We start from the raw sequence: 19,840 nt of genomic DNA, 5'->3' as shown, positions 1-19,840 counted from the left end.
ACAGGCGTGAGCCACTATGCCTGGCCTTTAGGTTCACTTTTATTTTCTCTATTCCATTAATTTTTTTGCCCTTTTTGCCCGGGCTGGAGTGCAATGGCGAGATCTCGGCCCACTGCAGCCTCCACCTTCCAGGTTCAAGTGATTCTCCTGCCTCAGCCTCCCAAGTAGGTGGGATTACAGGCATGTGCCACCATGCCCGGCTAATTTTGTATTTTTAGTAGAGATGAATTTAACCATGTTGGCCAGGCTGGTCTTGAACTCCTGACCTCAGGTGATCCACCCACCTCAACCTCCCAAAGTGCTGAGATTACAGGCATGAGCCACTGTGCCTGGCCACCATTAATTTTTTCCTAAGTTTTTAAAAAAACTTCCACAGTATAAATTACAACTTTCCTTTGCCTCTTCAGAACAAAACAAAATCATGACCATACCTTAACTTATATTTTATTGCAGTGGACTGGGTATTTTTGCTTCTAGATATTTACACATTATCTTTCCTCTTAGTACTCACTTAACAGTTACTTTAAGTTTTCCATCCATATTAGCGAACATTATTTAGTCTCAAGTATGTTTACACTGCATCATGTTTTCCCCTTTGTGAGTACTTTTTGTTTCTTGATCAGTAGTTTTCAGAATGTCTTTGTGTGTCTCATAAGTTTTTTCTCTCACCGTTGAACAATAAATGGTTCATTATTTGGCCAGTTCAAAATCATCTTTTCAGAAATAATAGAGACCTTTGCTTCTGTTTTTAGTACACAGTGTTACAGAGGGGAGGATTTTGGTCTTACTCTGTAGATACTGTTTCATTCCTCGGAAACAGAATTTTTCTCTATTCTTGCGGTAAAGGAAGTTAAAACTGTCCCTAAGACTGTGTTTAGATACCTGAGTGTATGGTATCTTTGTTTCTTTTTGGCCTTTTGCCCTTTTGGTCTAAGGATTCAGTCTCCTTAGAGCAGACAAAAATCTACTTAATTTAAGGAAACTTTTCTCCTTTTTCTCTGTTCTTGCTCTGTTAAAGTTCTCTTTATATCTTTAATGTTTCTTTTACTCTCTTCATCTCTTTGTTTGTTTGTACCAGGTTCTCTGAGATCGTGGTTCAGTTTGTTTGCTCATCAGCCAGGGCCATTCTGCTCTTGGATCTGCTGGGCCGGGCACATTGGTTCACGCCTATAATCTCAGCACTTTGGGAGACCGAGGCAGGCAAGCGGATCGCTTGAGCCTGGGAGCTTGAGACCAGTCTGGCAACATAGTGAGACCCTGTCTCCACAAAAAATACAAAAATGAGCTGGGCGTGGTGGTGCATGCCCAGCTACTTGGGAAACTGAGGTGGGAGGGAGTATGGCTTGAGCCCAGGAGGCAGAGTTACTTCTTTTTGTTTGTTTAATGGCTATAAGAGCCATCCTTCAAAAGTCTTTGGAGGTTGTAATAGTTGTACTATATCCTCTAAAACCTTGCATTCTTTGTTGAGTATAAATTGCAAAGCAGGCATGGGGGTGGGAGAAGCTTGGCCTTCTGGCTGTATTTGTTCCCTCAATTGTGTTGCCCATAAATTCCTTTGACTGTTATGTTTCTATTTTCTCTCAAGGTGTTTACTTGGGAAAGTCTCTTAGAACAACCCCCACCTTAAGAGACAGCCCAGAATCATTAGCTGTGATGACCCGGGACGAATTTATTTTCTGACCATTCTTGTCTTTCACTGCTTCTCATCTCTAGTTGTTATTTTAGAGTTTCATTGCCAAGACATTTTTTTCAAAAATTCAAATAAAGGGGCAGGCGTGGTGGCTCACACCTATAATCTCAGAACTTTGGGAAGCCTAGGCAGGTGGATCAGTTGAGGTCAGGAGTTCGAGACCAGCATGGCCAACATGTTGAAATCCCATCTCTACTAAAAATATAAAAATTAGTCGGGCATGGAGGCAGGCGCTTGTAGTCCTAGCTACCTGGGAGGCTAAGGCTCAAGAATAGCTTGAATGTGGGTGGCAGAGGCTGCAGTTAGCTGAGATCGTACCACTGCACTCCATCCTGGGTAACAGAGTGAGATTCCACCTCAAAAAAAAAAAAAAAAAAAAGAAAAGAAAATTCAAATAAAGGTTCTCTTATTCACGCATTGTTTGAGACTGTAGCTTATTCTTAGCTTTGTAGATTCTTTTATTTTTATTTTTTTGAGACAGAGGCTTGCGCTCTGGTGCAGGCTGGAGTGCAGTAGTGTGATGTTGGGTAACTGCAAGTTTTGCCTTCTGGGTTCAAGCGATTCTCCTGCCTCAGCCTCCCAAGTAGCTGGGACTACAGGCGCCTGCCACCACGCCTGGCTAATTTTTTGTATTTTTAGTAGAGACAGGGTTTCACCGTGTTAGCCAGGATGGTCTTGATCTCCTGACCTCGTGATCCACCTGCCTCGGCCTTCCAAACTGCTGGGATTACAGGCGTGAGCCACCGCGCCCGGCCCATCAGAGTACTTTGAATAGAGAAGTACTGTTAATTTAACCACCCCCATTAGACATTAAATAAAATGTCTCCACCTTTCTTTGCTTCGTAGGCACTGTGATGTCCATTTCAGGGCATGTGGCTTTTTTCACATTCTTCAAAGGGGATTTCTAGGTTGAAGGAAATCTGTAGAGGTGTATGTTCCCAGGTTGCTTTCCAGCACAGTGTTATATCGGTTTGTAAGGCCACCTACAATATATGAGACTACCAGTTTCCCTGTAGCGTCAGTCTGATCTCAGATTAAAAAATAAATGAAATTTTAAAACTTGCTTATTTAAGGGCTTCATATTGTTATAAGTACAAAAAATATTTGAATGGTAATACCAGTAGTTGTAATAGTAAATGGTTACCAATGTAATGCTTCTTTTTCACTTTGTCAATGGAGGACTCTCGTTGGGGAGATAGAGATTCAGAAGGCACCTGGAGAAAAGGACCTGAAGCAGATTCTGAGTGGAGAAGAGGCCCGCCAGAGAAGTAAGTAGAGTTGAGGAAAATAATGCCGCTCCAGTTCCTGTTAATATCTTATCAGTGGTTTTAAAATTTGGTTCATTTTGTAGAGGCAGGGAAAGGAGAGCCATGAAGAATTGTGTGCATGTCTGATTGCGTGTGGGTTTGTATTTTGTTTTTTTGGGTCTGCTGCCCAGGCTGGGGTGCAGTGGCGCTATCTCGGCTCCCTGCAACCTCTGCCTCCTGGGTTCAAGTGCCTCAGCCTCTCGAATAGCTGGGATTACAGGTGTGTGCCACCACACCTGGCTACTTTTTGTATTTTTAGTAGAGATGGGGTTTTGCCATGTTGCCCAAGCTGGCTTTGACCTCTTGACCTCAAGCGATCTGACTGTCTCAGCCTCTCAAATTGCTGGGATGACAGGCATGAGCCACTGCACTTGGCCTGTGTTGTTGTTTTTGTTGTTGTTGTTGTTGTTTTGAGATGGCGTCTCACTCTGGAGTGCAGTGGCGCGATCTCGGCTCACTACAGCCTCAACCTCCCTGGGCTTAGGTGATCCTCCTGCCTCAGCCTCCTGAGTAGCTGGGACCACAGGTGCGCTCCACCATGCCTGGTTAATTTTGTTTGTTTGTTTCTTTGTTTTTGAGACAGAATCTAGCTCTGTCACCCAGGCTGGAGTGCAGTGGCGCGTTCTCGGCTCACTGCAGCCTCCGCCTCCTGGGTTGAAGCAATTCTTGTGCCTCCCAAGTAGCTGGGAGGCACTTGTAATCCTCCCAAGTAGGATTACAGACATGCACCACCACGCCTGGCTAATTTTTGCATTTTTAGTAGACCCGAGGTTTCACTATGTTGGCCAGGCTGGTCTTGAACTCCTGACCTCAAGAAATCTGCCTGCCTCGGCCTCCCAAAGTGCTGGGATTACAGGTGTGGGCCACTACGCCTGGTGAATTTTTATATTCTTTATAGTGATGGGGTTTTGACATGTTGCCCAGGCTAGTCTCAAACTCCTGGGCTCAAGCAATCCTCCCGCCTTGGCCTTCCAAAGTGCTGGGATTACAGGTGTGAGCGACTGTGCCCAGCCGCATGTCTTACAATTAAGTAGAGATGGGTTTTGCCAGGCCAGGCTGGTCTTGAACTCCTGACCTCAGGTGATCTGCCTGCCTCTGCTTCCCAGAGTGCTGGGATTAAAGGTGCGAGCCACTGCTCCGGCCCATACTGAAGTTTTTAAAAAGCATGTGAAAAAAAAAATCCCCAAAGGATCATATGCTTTTTTATTTTATATATTTTTAATTGTTCTTGTTGCTGTGTAGGGAGTGGAGACGTGGAGAAGGGCGAGATGAGGACAGGTCTCATAGAAGAGATGAAGAGCGGCCCCGGCGTCTGGGGGATGATGAAGATAGAGAGCCCTCTCTTAGACCAGACGATGATCGGGTTCCCCGGCGTGGCATGGATGATGACAGAGGCCCTAGACGTGGTCCTGAGGAAGATAGGTTCTCTCGTCGTGGGGCAGACGATGACCGGCCTTCCTGGCGTAACACAGATGATGACAGGCCTCCCAGACGAATTGCCGATGAAGACAGGGGAAACTGGCGTCATGCGGATGATGACAGACCACCTAGACGAGGACTGGATGAGGACAGAGGAAGCTGGCGAACAGCTGATGAGGACAGAGGACCAAGACGTGGGATGGATGATGACCGGGGGCCGAGGCGAGGAGGCGCTGATGATGAGCGATCATCCTGGCGTAATGCTGATGATGACCGGGGTCCCAGGCGAGGGTTGGATGATGATCGGGGTCCCAGGCGAGGCATGGATGATGACCGGGGTCCCAGGCGAGGCATGGATGATGACCGGGGTCCCAGGCGAGGCATGGATGATGACCGGGGTCCCAGGCGAGGGTTGGATGATGATCGAGGACCTTGGAGGAACGCCGATGATGACAGAATTCCCAGGCGTGGTGCAGAGGATGACAGGGGCCCTTGGAGAAACATGGATGATGATCGCCTTTCAAGACGTGCTGATGATGATCGGTTTCCCAGACGGGGTGATGACTCAAGACCTGGTCCTTGGAGACCATTAGTCAAGCCAGGTAAAATTCTATTTCCTAGAATATGCTTAAGTGTTCACCTGTAAAAGTGAAATTCTGATGGATAAATATCAGGGCTGTATTGTTATTTTCCAGATAAACTGGTCTTTCATCTTTCCTTCAGTATCATTTGCAGTGACTTCGCTGTCAAAAGTTTGCCTTCAGAATACCACCATCCAAAACATAAATAACCCAACCCCTCTCTTCTTTAGTGATGTGCTCTTTGTTTTCCTTCTGCTTCGATGACTGCTTCTTTGAAGGCTCTTCCTGTACTCATGCTTTCAGTATTGGTGTATTTTTCAGGTTTTACTGGGAACCAGCCTCCTTTTAAAAATAAATAATTGAAACCAAAATGTACTTTATATATTTATTTTTGCCAACTGAGAGATTATGCAAGGAGGAACTCATTTTACTTTACTTTTTTTGAGACAGGGTCTTGCTCTGTTGCACAGGCTGGAATGCAGTGGTGCAGTCATGGCTCACTGCAACCTTGACCTCCCGGACCCTAGGGAGCCTCCCACTTCAGCCTTCTGAGTAGCTAGGACTACAGGCGCATGCCACCACACCCTGCTAATATTTTATTTTTTGGAGAGACGGGGTTTCGCTATGTTGCCCAGGCTGGTCTCAAACTCCTGGGCCCAAGTTATCCTTCTGCCTCTCCCTCCCAAAGTGAAGTGCTGGGATAACGGGTGTGAGGCGCTGCGCCCAGCCTCATTTTTTTTCTTAGTCCTGGGCCTGCTTATTGTTTCACACTTTATTATTCGTGAGCAGTTGTATACATGTTTGTGACATGCGTCTATTACCATTTTTTTTCTTTTTGAGGTGGAGTCTTGCTCTGTCTCCCAGGCTGGAGTGCAGTGGTATGATCTCAGCTCACTGCAACCTCTGCCTCCCAGGTTCAAGCAATTCTCCTGCCTCAGCTTCCCAAGTAGCTGGGACTACAGGCACATGCCACCATGCATGGCTAATTTTTTTTTTTTTTTTTTTTTTTGGAGACGGAGTCTCGCTCTGTCATCTGGCTGGAGTGCAGTGGCGCGATCTCCCCTCACTGCAAGTTCTGCCTCCCAGGTTCATGCCCTTCTCCTGCCTCAGCCTCCTGAGTAGCTGGGACAACAGGTGCCTACCACTATGCCTGGCTAATTTTTTGTATTTTTAGTAGAGATGGGGTTTCACCATGGTAGCCAGGATGGTCTCGATCTCCTGACCTCTTGATCCGCCTGCCTCAGCCTCCCAAAGTGCTGGGATTACAGGCATGAGCCACCACGCCCGGCCATTTTTTTGTATTTTTAATAGAGATGGGGTTTCACCATGTTGGCCAGGCTGCTCTCGAACTCCTGACCTCAAGTGATCCACCCACCTCGGCCTCCCAAAGTGCTAGGATTACAGGCGTGAGCCACTGCCCCGGCCAGTTTTCTCTAGGTAATTTCTGCGTACTGCACACAGGTGACAGCTGCTTACTGCATATAGCACATCTCCACTTGGTAGTCTTACTGAATGTCTAACACAGCCTATCCAAAACTGGACTCATTACCATCACATACACGTGCACTTGTTCACGCCCACCCATCCCTCTGATTCTCTTCAGGGGCATCACTGTCCATCTAACTGTCTGAGCTAGGATTCTGGGAGTTGTTTTGTCTCTGTTTCATCCTTTATGTTAAATCTTTAGTTCAGTTCTGCCTTTTTGATGTTCCTGAAATCCACCCTCCTCTCCATTCCCATTGCTTGTACTTGGTCCTGGGTCAGCATCATTTTCCTCACCCGCTAACTGGTTTTTGCTGCCTCTCTTACTCCCAGTTTTAATTTTGGGTGTCAGGGAAATAACCAGAGCAGTTGTTGTAAGTGCAGATCTAAGTGAGCTGCTTCCTTGCTTTCCCCAGTTGTTTCTGTTGCCTACTTCGTCTCTTCTAGTCTCACTTCATTCTGCTGTTCGGCTGTTACCTTGTGTAAGACATTTAATTTTTCTTTTCCTCATGTTAAATGGGGTAACAGTATAGCAGATTCTTACTAATTTGCTAATTATATTTTATACAGTTGCCATGAATACTGAACTCATGTTCCTAGGGTAAATACAAGGTTAGGTTCTTGTAAGCTTCTAGTCATGATATTTTTGTCAACCAATCAATACATAAAATGTCTTTTATGTGTTTGTGTTTAAAGACTCCCTATTTCTGATATGTTGTTGATTCATTACCATTGAATTCATGGTCAACAGCATTATAACTCATTCATGAACAAAGCTTATCTAATACATGTATTTTCTCCTTAAGGCATATCATAGCCACCTTGTGCTTGGGGCCACTAAACAGCATTTGTTTTTTCTCTTTTTGAGGTGGGGCCTCACTGTCTCCCAGGCTGGAGTGCAGTGGCGTGATCTCAGATCACCGCAACCTCTGCCTCCTGGGCTCAAGAGATCCTACCACATCAGCCTCCTGAGTAGTAGACTATAGGTGCACACCACCAAGCCCAGCTAATTTTTGTATTTTTTTGTAGAGATGTGGTTTTGCCATGTTGCCCAGGCTGGTCTTGAACTCCTGGGCTCCAGGGATCCACCCTCCTCAGCCTCCCAAATTCCTGAGATTACAGGCATGAGCCACCACGCCTGGCCACTAGACAGCATTTTAGCACTACACTTGGAGGCCATTTTAAACAGTGAGGTCACCAGCAAATTTACATCTCTATATGTACTGTATATAAAATGTTCCTAGATTCATATATTCCATGCATAAGTGTGAGCCACTGTGCAGGGTTAAAGGATTTATTCATGATTAATGACTAGATAATGGGTGGCAAATGGTGGAGGACAGGAATATAAAAGGAAAGATTGTTTTTTGGATATGAAGGGCTTGAAAACGTTGCAAGGTATAAATACCTCAAAATTGGGACTCAGAGAAAACTCTTGAAGTTTCTGCTTAAATGAGTGATCTGTGTAACATCAGAACAGATACTATGCTGAAATCTGCGTGCAATAGGAAAAATTCTAAAATTTTCAGTGATACTTTTGTTTTATGGAACACTTAACACAGATCATTTAAGGTTTTTGGTATTTTTTTTTCTTTTCCTGTTTGTTTTTTGAGACAGTCTCATTCTGTCATCCAGGCTGGAGTACAGTGGCACTATCTTGGCTCACTGCAGCCTCTGCCTCCCAGGTTCAAGCAGTTCTCATGCCTCAGCCTCCTAAGTCAAGTAGCTAGGACTACAGGCGCACCACCACACCTGGCTAATTGTAGTTTTAGTAGCAACAGGGTTATTACCATGTTGGCCAGGCTGGTCTCGAATTCCTGACCTTAAGTGATCCACCTGGCTCGGTCTCCAAAAGTGCTGGGATTACAGGTGTGAGCCACCATGCCCGGCCCATTTTAAGTTTCTCATATAAGTTTAAGATACTGTTAATGATGTCTGTGCAGTGATGTACACAGCTTTAGTATTTTTTTAATCAGTGTCTTAAATTAGCATTTAGAATGATGATGAATTAATGCCAACGTCTATTCATGATTGCCAATCTGTTTCTTCTTTTAAAAATATTTTAAAAATGTTTTGCTTTTTCAAAAAAACAGGTGGATGGAGAGAGAAAGAAAAAGCCAGAGAGGAGAGCTGGGGTCCACCTCGAGAATCAAGGCCATCAGAAGAACGTGAATGGGACAGAGAAAAAGAAAGGGACAGAGATAATCAAGATCGGGAGGAGAATGACAAGGACCCTGAGAGAGAAAGGGACAGAGAGAGAGATGTGGATCGAGAGGATCGCTTCAGAAGACCTAGGTGTGATGCTCTAATTAAATTATTTGTAGAGGCCGGGCGCAGTGGCTCATGCCTGTAATCCCAGCACTTTGGGAGGGCGGATCACCTGAGTTCAGGAGTTCGAGAGCAGCCTGGCCAACATAGTGAAACCCCATCTCTACTAAAAAATACAAAATTAGCCGGGCGTGGTGGCGCATGCCTGTAATCCCAGCTACTCAGGAGGCTGAGGCAGGAGAATTGCTTGAACCCGGGAGGCAGAGGTTGTGGTGAGCCGAGATAGCGCCATTGCACTCCAGCCTGGGCAACAAGAGCAAAACTCCGTCTCAAAAAAAAAAAAAAAAAAAAAAAAAATTCCCTCTTAAAGTAAGAAAATGGAGGCCCAAACTTCGTGGCTGTCCAAAGGCTGTGTGACCCGTTGGGCATTGGAACCAGTCCAGCCATCTTTGTCAGTCCGTTGCTTTTACCCCTGTGGTTTAGGGCAGTCAGTTTTCTTGCCCTTAAATTATCAAAAGCCCTTTGATTTTATTAGTAGTAGAAGTTCTAGCTTGTTCCCGCTGCCAAAGTGTCCTTGTACTGACAAATGTAGACCAGCAGTGTTCGATGCAATTTTCTTCAAGGAAGAAAATGTGTCTGCTGGCCAGTATGGTAGTCAGCAGTCACATTTGGCAGCCAAGCACTTAGAATATATGGTTGATGGTCCTAAGGAAATATCTCCGTTTTACTTTAAATGTAAGTAACCACATATGGGTAGTGGCTAACGAGTGGGACGGCACAGATCTGGGTGTTCTCATTTGTTCTCCACGCCCCAGGCATCAGGTAAGGTCAGGTTATGAGTTTAAACTGTCTGTTATATTTGTAAACTCTAAGCCCCAGCTTGGACTGGATGTACTTATAATTATCCATTTGGTCTAACAGTAAGAACCTGACCTGTCATTGTAAATGGCTACAGGGATGAAGGTGGCTGGAGAAGAGGACCAGCTGAGGAATCTTCAAGCTGGAGAGACTCAAGTCGCCGGGACGATAGGGATAGGGATGACCGTCGCCGTGAGAGGGATGACCGGCGTGATCTAAGAGAAAGACGAGATCTAAGAGACGACAGGGACCGAAGAGGACCTCCACTCAGATCAGAACGTGAAGAAGGTATAGAGGTTACATACAACTGAAGTATTGGAGAACTGTCGTTTCTGGGGGGGGGGGGATTTGGGTTATTTAATTATATCATAAATTTGTATGAAGGCCAACAATAAGAGAGTTGATATTCTATTTAGAATTCATGATTTTCATACAGTTACTCAATGGTCATGTTGTAAAGTGCACTTATCTCTAAATTCAAAGTACAGTAGTAGACTAAATTGGATAGCAGGCAATATATATAAAGTTTACTTAATAAAAATGAAAAAAATTGTTATTTAAAAGCAGCTTCCTGGCAGATTAAGCACAAAGTAGAAACATTTTCTCTGAAATTGTAACAGAAGTTTATTCTGTTTTAAAATATATGTATTTTTCATTTTTAAAATCCTCATTTTTCTCTTGGTTTTTAAAAATTAATTTTCCATATGTCTTGACATCCTGTTATGAGAGAATTTTTCTCTCATAGCCATAACTTTAAAAACTCCTGTATTTTGTATGGTTAATTTGCTGTTAAAATTCTTCAAGAGCCAAAAATCCTTTCAGTTATAAAATTTTCATTCAGCCAGATTTTTGCCACCTTGTCTTACGGGTTTATACTAACTGTAGTCCTTCCCAGGCTAGTGGTTTCTGCCTGTTTTCAGATTTTGAGTTTTATCTGTACATTTGTATGTTAAAGATTGTCAGAAATTGTATGAGCTTTCATTATGATTTCTGTATTTAACAATACAGAATTTAACAGAATTTCTGTATTTAACAATGATTTCTGTATTTAACAATCTTTAGTACAGGAATTTTGAGTAATTTGAGCCAATAGAATATAGTACTAACTTAATTTTTTTTTTTTAATTAAACTTTTTAGTAAGTTCTTGGAGACGTGCTGATGACAGGAAAGATGACCGGGTGGAAGAGCGGGACCCTCCTCGTCGAGTTCCTCCCCCAGCTCTTTCAAGAGACCGAGAAAGAGACCGAGACCGAGAAAGAGAAGGTGAAAAAGAGAAGGCCTCATGGAGAGCTGAGAAAGATAGGGAATCTCTCCGTCGTACTAAAAATGAGACTGATGAAGATGGATGGACCACAGTACGACGTTAAGTCTCAAGATAATGGATTTAAACTGGTGTCTTAAATAGGTTTGATCACATTCAAGGATTATTATACTTGTGCTTCAACCAATCTAAATTGGATTCTTTAATGTTGTTTCACCATAACACAAAAAGCATGAACTTGTATTAATCCTATATAATAGATTGATCATGCACCATATCCACAGGAGGTTGGAAAAACCATGCCATTTTCTGGAATTTAAGGGTGTTGCATTATTTCATCAATCATTTGTTGACAAAAAAGAAAAACTAAAAAATAAATTTAAAATGTGACCCTTCAGGTATTGAGTAACACCTTTATCTTGGTATAGAACTGATACTTTTTTTTTGATTTTGAAATATCTGATAATAATTTGGAATGAAGTAAGGTTCTGTTAAAATATATTTGAAGACCCTTTAAAGCAGTGAATCTGAAACAATTTTCACACCCTTAAGTGGTTGATACGTACCTATTTTAGGTATTTTGAGGTATTTACCATAAACTAAATTTAGAAATTTTTTAGATTCACTTGAAGTAAACATTACAAACATTGGATACGGTGGGGTTTTCTTTAGATTTTACTTGAGAGAAGGTGAGTACAAAGCAATTTGCAGTTGTTGTAATGACAAGATTACTGCGCAAGTGTGAATCCAAACAGTATAGCTTTTAAATTTTAAAGCATTTGGTAAATTATCGCTGAGTTTTTTTCTGTTGCCAATAGCAAACTGCTTTTCCATTAATGGAGAATTCATGCCTTTCAAGCATTTTAAATATGACAATATTTATAAATGTATGGTTTGGAGGAATCGTTTAAATTCTCTTTCCTAATTTTCTTTCTTTTGAAGATAGATTCTTTCAACAAGTAATTTGTAGTAATGACTGTGTTGACTTCAATTTTGGAGCGCAGTAGCTATGTTAAAGATGAACTATTTGGTCTCATTGAAGCCAACACAGAACTTGCTGCTGTGTTTTTTCTTCAGTGATAAATAAAATACTTACAGAATTTGTTTTAGTGTTGATTTGTGGTTATAGTATTTTGTTTATAATGGTAAGTTTGCATATTCAGTTGAGTTTTTTTTACTTGAATTTTTATCAGTGCCATTAAATGTCTGTGTTTAGTATCAATGAAAATGAACCTAAATATAACAAAGAAAGCATATGTGGCTAGGATGTCCCCCTAACATGTCTTCCTTTGTTAATGCAGGAATTCCTTAGTTTCCTTGTAACGCTGTCCTCTGAGTTTGTGTGTGCATGTGCGTGTTTGAAGTACCACCTTGGGTTTTCACCTGAAATTAGAAAAATCGTAGTTAATTTGAGAAAATGTTACAAATTCATCATGGCTGTAGGCACTTATTTCTGTTATTGAGTAGTGGTGAGAATTCCTATTGGTACAGCTGTAGGGCCAGAAGAGGGAGTATTGATGCTTTTTAACTTAACCAGATGCAGCTATTTTTGTTTGATGTTACCAATGATAGAAATCATTTTAAACACCTTAGTATCTGGTATTTCAAATACGTAGAAGTCTTTAAAGGTCTTTCGTGGGGAGAAGGACTTTTCTTTCATAACAAGAGAATTTCAGATCAGTGATTACAAGTGGGGCAGTAACTTGCTAAGAGTTTGCTTCCTGGAGAGTAGATCTGTATGTGTGACATCACAGGTAAGCCCCAAGAATTTATTTAATCAGATTTGTTCAGACGAGTTACTGCTGCCTACGTTAGAGTTAGATTTCAAGGCGAGTCAGCAAACCCATCCTTTCTGCTCAGTCTCCCGTACTGTTCTCCCAAGTTCTTTGTTCTGGGAGTCAGAACCCAAGTGCAAGAGGAGGGCAGAAGAGTCTGATGCTGTTACTTTGCGATCCTGCTCTTGGTTTCCACTGTCCAGGCCATACAACTCTGTCTACTCCCATTAGTATTTACCAACAGGTGTTAAAGGAAAGCTGAACAAGCAGCCTACTCACCGATCTGCTAGGTGGTCTTCCATGTTCATGGTGGCTTCTGCAGTTTCATTGAGAGTAACATTGCTGTTAATACAGATAGATCCAGTAGTAGAGACATCATCGGTCCAAAAGACTTTGCATCTCATTAGTTGTCCATAGTGACTACCAGGAGGTGGCTGGCATCTATAACGTGTGGGACGTTTTTATGTAAAGAACTGCCTGTGTTTTTTTTTTTTTTTAACCAAAGACACTGACCATAGATTGACTTATACTTTTATAAGTCTAATTGAAATACTTGGGGTACTATGAAAGGACTGTTCCTTGAGTGGCTACGATTAGAAAATCAGGACTAACAAACTTTTCTTTGTCTGGAAGCATATATATTTGTGATATAATTTTAATATGTATAATTTTGGTTTAATAAATCAAATCTATGACAAAAGTTGTTCTCATCAAAGCTAATAATTCTGCAACTTCCAAAAAGGACTTTGTAGGAAAATTAAAATACAAAGAAAAATAAAAGCCACTAGAAATTTTAAGTCTGTACAGAAAAGAACAGGTTAAGACAATCTGTACCTCTACAGTTGGAGAAGCCCTTTTGACTCTTCCCTGTATTGTTTTGCTACTAGGCAAGTATGCAGCATGTTCTTATGAAGATAATTTTGTCATACTTTGTATATTTCTTAAACTTTGAAAAATTGGGTTTCTCTAAATGTAATTTTGCAAAATGTTTAAAGTTCCACATTGAGTTCCAAGGATTTTTAAATGAATGTGTTTACATATACTTTTCATAAGAGAACCCTAGAAAATTAACTATAGTAATACTCTGCGTTTTAACTCCCAGTATTCATTGTCAGCTGGAAAACCTAGGCAAATTTGGCACAGGGGCTGAACATGGGGTACTTTTTTTCTTTTTTGGAGACAGAGTCGCTCTGTTGCTCAGGCTGGAGTGCAGTGGCGTGATCTGGGCTCACTGCAACCTCCGCCTCCTGGTTTCAAGCAATTCTCCTGCCTCAGCCTCCTGAGGAGCTGGGATTACAGGCGCCCACCACACCACCCGGCTAATTTTTGTATTTTTAGTAGAGACGGGGCTTCGCCATGTTGGCCAGGCTGGTCTCCTGACCTTGTGATCCACCCCCGCCTCGCCTCCCAAAGTGCTGGGATTACAGGCATGAGCCACCACACCCGGCCTGAAAATGGGGTACTTTAAAAATAGATGAATAGTGGCTGCCTGAGTAGTGGAGAGGGTCTTCTGGATTCCTTTTCCAATACTCTCCTGCCCTCAAGAAGCTCCAGCTCAATATGTTCTTAGTTCTGGTAAAATAGCAATGTCAGAATATCAAATTAACATTAGGCACATCTCATCACAGTGACTCCCATATATTGAGGCTATGCCAAAGCCCCATGCTCAAGACCTTTGGAAACCGTCTGTAATTTGACTCTGAAAATACAAAGTAGCTAAATTGATCTTGCCACCTGGCTAGCCCTTTTGGCCTAGAGAATGCGCTGATCTGTTCATAGTGGTCCTTTTGAAAAGGCAGAACACGAGCAGTGAGAGAGGTAAGAGGATTCATGTTGACCTTAGAAACTTCACCCAGAAGGTGAAGCTCATTTAAACTGGTAGATTTTCTATAGCAAAAGAAAGGAGAACAAGTAATTACATGGTTTCATTAAGCTACTTAATTTAGGCCCAGTCAGATCTGCAGTTCTCTCTGGTCTGGGGTTAAGACTAGCAGCGTTGGATTATTTGTCTTTCCTGGCTAAGAAACATTGTGCTTTCCTCCTGCCCCCCAAGTTCTTGAAATGCACCTTTTCTTTCACCAAAAAGACAGCTATCGGGTATTTACCCCATCCTCTAACACACCTTCAAATGAAGGTTCCTGATTGAGTCAATTTGCTGTGGATGAAGTTAGCTGTTTAATGCGAAAGCAGTCTAACTTCTAGTAGCCTAGCTAAATCCTACTGGGAGCCTTATACACGTAGACTAAACTCTTGCTGGTATCTTCAGATAGTAATGCATTTGTGTATTTCAGATGAGTTCATCTTAATTCACTTCCATTTTTTGCCTTCTATTGCCTTGCTTGGCAGGTAGCTGCATTCCATAGTGTGGCATTCAGTATGGTGGATTTAAAAGTGAGGGTGGGAGGGTAAAGTAGGGGTTAGGAACTTTTGCCCAAGGATCAGGTTTAGTCTTGCTTATGGGTAAACTGGTGGGGTTCCGGAAACCGACATGGGTCTTCCAGTAGGAGTGGGAACACATGAAGGACCCCCAACAATTCCTTTAATTAGTGCTTATTCTAGTTTGAGCACTGCCTGTATTAAAGTCAGACGCAGCCCACGGTGGAACCTTCTTGAATACGAGTTAATACACGAATAGCTCAGAGCTAGAGATCCATCTTCTATTTGTTTGACAGGCAACAGCTGGAATGGGCTTTCCTCCACTAGGAACCCTGAAATTGAGTAATCTAGGGTGAATTAATACTGCTGTCTTCCCTTCCTCCCTTTGATCTTAATATCATAAACGTTTTTAAAGAACTGGAAGAGGGTGAGTGTGTAGAGAAAATGCCAAGTAGGAAAGTTACAGGTGAGATTAATGAATTCATACTGTTACTGTATAAATACACAATTTTTTTAAACAGCACCATTTCCAAGTTATACACAATATGATTATGACTTGGCACAACTTTTAAAGGTGGAAAAGGCTAGTTGCTAGTTCAGTAATAAAATACCTGGTACATAGAACGATAAGGAGCTGTATTCTACCTGCTACACATTGTGCATTTTACACCTCCAGCTAGGACAGAAACAAGCCACAAGCGGGGAATACCCGCCCAAATTAATACTGGAAAGTTTACAAAACCTTCACTTCTCATAAGGGTGATGCTACCAGCGGCTTGCTTCACCTGGAATTAGAGTAACTGATTTTTAAAGACAACTGAGAATATTAACTCGCTTCAAACAATAAAATAGTCATTTTGCCGACATTTCATAAAATCGCCAGTTTTAAGCTCAGTTCAGAGGCTTTTAAAAAAATATTCTAGACCTAGTAAAGTGCCTCCATTCATAAAATGAAACATCCAAGATTGAGACAATTTCATACTGATGCGCATCTAAAATAGGTCGACGTATACAGTAAATAAACAGCGCCTCTAAGTTGCCATATTTCAGTTAGTGGAATACACACCCAGCCTTCGCCGTTCTGGATGTGCAAACTAGAAACTGAAGACAAATGGGGATTTCAGCGTCTAGTCCCAATCGTTCAGCACGGAAGTACTCCACACGGTCGGCTGCTTTTCAAAAACCACCAGGACGACGTCCCATGTCGAGCCGACCGCTGAGCCGCACGCCTCCCCACGGCGGGGGCGAGATGGTGCGCAGACCTAGCGGTGCGAGGGGCGGCGGCGACCCTGGGCGGCCGGGAGCCCGGGCCTTCAGCGCAGCTTCTTGCCAGGCGGGCCGTCCCTGGCGCTGCGGGGCGGCGGGCGGGCGGGCGGCGGCGGCACTTTGGAGAGCGGGCAGTACTTGATGGTGTGCGCGTTGTCGCCGCTGGCGCCGCACAGGGGACACGTGTAGCGGCGCAGCACGGGACACAGCACTCGCCCGTCGGGGCCCTTGAGGATATGGGTGGTGTAGAGCGCCATCGCCTCCTTGTTGTTCCGGCAGAACACGCACACCTGCAGCTCGGGCTTCAGCAGCCGGGCGGCCGCCGCCCCGGAGGCCGCGTGCAGCCGGGGCTCGGCCGCCCACGCCGGGGCCCGCTCCTCGCGCGGCGTCGCCTCGCTGGTGGTGGTGGCGGCGGCGGCGGCGGCGGGCGCGCAGCCCAGCAGCACGGCGGCGGCACGACCCGCGAACGGGCTCAGCTCGGCGAAGCGCTCCTCCAGCAGCCCGGCCTCGGCGGGGCCCGCGCACAGCTCCAGCGCGCGCAATTCCAGCGCGCTCCCCAGGTAGCGGCCCCGGGACCCCGGCTCGTCGCTGTCGTCGTCGTCGTCCTCGTCGTAGTCGGGCGGCCCCAGCGCCGGCCCCAGCGCCCCAGGCCCGGCCCCCGTGTGGGGGGAGCAGCAGGACGACGAGGAGGAGGAGGGCGGGGAGCCGCCGCCGCCGTTCCCACCGCGGGCGCAGCCGAAGCGCGGCTCGCCGTCCACCGCTTTGGTGATGAGCGTGGCGAGCCCCAGGTAGTCGTTCCAGGAGCTGAAGGGCTGCGGGTGCGCCGGGCCCGGGGCGCTCACGTAGCGGGCGCTGGGCACGAGCGCCATGGGCGGGGGGGCGCGGCCGCGGCGGGGCGAGCGGGGCGCCCAGGGGAAAGCCTCCATGGGCGGGCTGCGGGCCGCGCGCCGCCTCCCCGCCGCCGGCGCGGGCCGGACGGAAGGGACACGCCGAGCCTGCCCGCCGGCCTGCCGCGGGGTGGGGCCGCCGCGCCGCCTTTTATCGGGCCCACTCCTCCCCGCCCCCCGGCCTCGCCGCCGCGGCCCTGCCCCCTGCGTTCCCCCGCCCCGGCCACCTCGCCCGCGCCCCGGACGGAGGCGGAGCGGAGGCGGGCTGGCTGTGTGCGCGCTCCGCTCCAGCCCGCGCGGCTCCCGCGCCCCGCGCGCTGCGCCAGCCTCGCCAGCTGTCGGGCGGCCTTCATTCCGGGAGGGGGCGGGCGAGGCGCCGCCTCGAGCCGTGGCGCTCATTGGCTGCAGACCAGAGCCCCCCGGCGCCTCGGGCGCCGCTCCGGACGCTGATTGGTGGGAACACGGGGAGGGGGCGTGTTCTCCGCGCAGCTGGGAGGTGAGGAGAAAGTAGGGGAGAGAAGGGCCGGGAAGGGAGGGCCGCTGGGGCCCGCATTCGAGCGCCGGGCCTGGGCTTGGAGCAGGTGACCAGGCCTGGGTCTCCTCGGCCTGGTGGTGAGGCCCCCCGAGGACAGGGGTCAGGGTGGCCACAGGTTTACGCCCCCACCTCCCAGCCTTTAATGGCCCTAGGCCCTAATCCTGAGAATCCCCGCTATCCACCCCCTTCTCACCAACATCAGCATGAAAAGCTGGACGCGTTGGAAGGATGCAGCTCTCCCATCACAGCCGCCCAACCAGCCAGTGGCTTCCGTTTGCACCGCGCGTTGGAGCGCTTTCCCCTGGGCGAAATCCATACAAACCCTGAGGTTCGGGGAGGCTGTGGTTCCTGCCGCGGTAAGAGCGGAGGGACGCAGGACTTTCCGGCTGCACGCAGCAGCCTTCCTCCCAACAGGTGCTCAGGGACTTCAGCCAATGGGTGGCCGATAGCCGGTTACTTAGGTCGGGGTTGGGGCTGGGCCGGAAAATCTCATGGCTGGAGAGCCTAGGACAGTGACTGGGATGTGTGTGTGTGTGTGTACCCCCTCGCCCCAGAGGCCTGAGTCAAAATGTGGGTTGTATGTGCAGTTTGAAAAACAACGTGTATTCAATGTTATATTTTGTCTTCCTTCCTTCCTTCCTTCCTTCCTTCCTTCCTTCCTTCCTTCCTTCCTTCCTTCCTTCTTTCCTTCCTTCTTTCCTTCCTTCCTTCCTTCCTTCTTTCCCTCCTTCCTTTTCTTTCTTTTTTTTTCTTTTCTTTCCGCATCCCGGGTTCAAGCAATTCTCCTGCCTCAGCCTTCCAAGCAGCTGGGATTACAGATGCCCGCCACCATGCCGGGCTAATTTTTTGTATTTTAGTAGAGACGGGGTTTCACTATGTTGGCCAGGCTTGTCTTGAACTCCAGACCTCGCGATCCGCCTGCCTTGGCCTCCCAAAGTGTTGGTGTTACAGGCGTGAGCCACCGCGTCTGGCCTCTTTCTTTCTTTCTCACTCTTTCTTTTTTCTTCTTGATTTTTCTTTTTTCTTTTTTTTTTTTCTTGAGACAGGGTCTCACTATGTTGCCTAGGCTGGTCTTGAACACCTGGCCTCAAGCGATCTTCCTGCCTTGGCCTCCCAAAGTGCTGGGATTACAGACATGAGCCACCACACCTGGCCTCAACATTATAATTAAATACTTTGAAATGAATAAAACATGTTGTGTAAAAGCCATGGAGAATAAGAGCCAGAAGATGAGTTTTGATTAGGAAGATGGCAGGTGGTCTTACACTTCCCAACTTTTTTAAAAATTGAAAGTAGGAAAGGCTTTAGATACTGAGGGCTCTTCTAGGATGAAACCTAGAACTGGGATCAGGAAAATGCCTCCCCTGGCAGGTGGGCCCTGGCAGGGTGGGCTTCATGGGGCAGATGGGGCTTTCCTTCCTCACTCTGGACCATGCAGTGGCTGTGGAAACAATGAGCCCTCACTAGGCCTGAGGCCACACTCACAGGTCTTGGCTGTGCCCAGCAGGTTTAGAATGGCTCAGCAGGGGATGCCCAGAACCTAGTGCTGGCATTGGTTAATATTAGAATGAATGAATGAGGGAATCAGAATGTCAGCATGGGAAGGGATCTTTGGGATCATTCTGTTCGATCTTTTCTTGCCTTTTTCTTTTCTTTTTTAATAGATGGGGGTCTCGCTATGTTGCCCAGGCTGGTCTTGAACTCCTGGCCTCAAGTGATCCTCCTGTCTTGGCCTCACAAAGTGCTGGGATTGCAAATGTGAGCCACTGCACCCAGTTCTGTCCAATCCTTACAGATGAAGAAAATGAGACCTAGAGAAGAGTAGGATTTCTTTTTTTTTTTTTGAGACAGAGTCTCACTCTGTCGCCCAGACTGGAGTGCGATGGCACGATCTAGGCTCACTGCAATCTCTGCCTCCTGAGTTTAAGCGATTCTCCTGCCTCAGCCTCCTGAGTAGCTGGGTTTAGAGGCATGTGCCACCATGCCTACCTAATTTTTGTATTTTTAATAGTGATGGGGTTTCACCGTATTGGCTGGTCTCAAACTCCTGACCTCAGGTGATTTGCCTACCTTGGCCTCCCAAAATGCTGGGATTATAGGTGTGAGCCACCGCACCCAGCCAAGCAGGACTTCT

General features: G+C 46.0%; 2 protein-coding genes and 1 long non-coding RNA gene across 5 annotated transcripts in view, besides 5 other annotated features; 2 read left to right on the top strand and 1 right to left on the bottom strand.

Moving 5' to 3' along the window:
* Nucleotides 1-13,342, top strand: part of EIF3A (eukaryotic translation initiation factor 3 subunit A) — a 47,148-nt gene extending 33,806 nt beyond the window's left edge. The window contains exons 18-22 of the mRNA NM_003750.4: nucleotides 2,870-2,958; nucleotides 4,240-5,018; nucleotides 8,573-8,774; nucleotides 9,703-9,893; nucleotides 10,744-13,342. Coding sequence (NP_003741.1) covers nucleotides 2,870-2,958; nucleotides 4,240-5,018; nucleotides 8,573-8,774; nucleotides 9,703-9,893; nucleotides 10,744-10,973 — 1,491 coding nt within the window. The 3' untranslated portion in view covers nucleotides 10,974-13,342. The remainder of the gene's footprint in view (nucleotides 1-2,869; nucleotides 2,959-4,239; nucleotides 5,019-8,572; nucleotides 8,775-9,702; nucleotides 9,894-10,743) is intronic.
* NANOS1 (nanos C2HC-type zinc finger 1) lies at nucleotides 13,282-17,298 on the bottom strand. Its single transcript, NM_199461.4, has one exon. It carries the CDS (start codon nucleotides 17,208-17,210, stop codon nucleotides 16,332-16,334), a length of 879 nt encoding a protein of 292 aa, NP_955631.1. The 5' UTR covers nucleotides 17,211-17,298; the 3' UTR covers nucleotides 13,282-16,331.
* Nucleotides 16,227-16,526: a silencer, noted in NCBI's record as "silent region_2866". NCBI's record gives its function as "represses an Ori minimal core promoter by ATAC-STARR-seq in GM12878 lymphoblastoid cells {active_cell/tissue: GM12878}" and the evidence as "EXISTENCE:reporter gene assay evidence [ECO:0000049][PMID:35858748]".
* Nucleotides 16,897-17,106: a silencer, noted in NCBI's record as "silent region_2865". NCBI's record gives its function as "represses an Ori minimal core promoter by ATAC-STARR-seq in GM12878 lymphoblastoid cells {active_cell/tissue: GM12878}" and the evidence as "EXISTENCE:reporter gene assay evidence [ECO:0000049][PMID:35858748]".
* Nucleotides 17,227-17,696: a silencer, noted in NCBI's record as "silent region_2864". NCBI's record gives its function as "represses an Ori minimal core promoter by ATAC-STARR-seq in GM12878 lymphoblastoid cells {active_cell/tissue: GM12878}" and the evidence as "EXISTENCE:reporter gene assay evidence [ECO:0000049][PMID:35858748]".
* Nucleotides 17,227-18,021: a biological region, named in NCBI's record as "H3K4me1 hESC enhancer GRCh37_chr10:120788503-120789003".
* The window catches only part of LINC03036 (long intergenic non-protein coding RNA 3036), a 245,028-nt gene continuing 242,628 nt past the window's right edge, over nucleotides 17,441-19,840 (top strand). For all 3 annotated transcript variants that reach the window (NR_186540.1, NR_186541.1, NR_186542.1), the window contains exon 1: nucleotides 17,441-17,667. This is a non-coding gene — a long non-coding RNA (long intergenic non-protein coding RNA 3036). The remainder of the gene's footprint in view (nucleotides 17,668-19,840) is intronic.
* Nucleotides 17,521-18,021: an enhancer, noted in NCBI's record as "H3K4me1 hESC enhancer chr10:120788503-120789003 (GRCh37/hg19 assembly coordinates)". NCBI's record gives its function as "activates a minimal SCP1, AML or CMV promoter by ChIP-STARR-seq in naive H9 embryonic stem cells {active_cell/tissue: H9 hESC(naive)}" and the evidence as "EXISTENCE:reporter gene assay evidence [ECO:0000049][PMID:30033119]".

This window comes from Homo sapiens, chromosome 10, assembly GCF_000001405.40.
Source record: "Homo sapiens chromosome 10, GRCh38.p14 Primary Assembly".
NCBI classification, from domain to species: domain Eukaryota; kingdom Metazoa; phylum Chordata; class Mammalia; order Primates; family Hominidae; genus Homo; species Homo sapiens.
Note: the sequence above shows the minus strand (reverse complement) of the source record. Positions and strands in the feature narration are given on the sequence as shown.

Bases quoted from the DNA above. Each gene is read 5' to 3' on its own strand.
- NANOS1 (NM_199461.4), bottom strand. From the start codon at position 17,210: ATGGAGGCTTTCCCCTGGGCGCCCCGCTCGCCCCGCCGCGGCCGCGCC.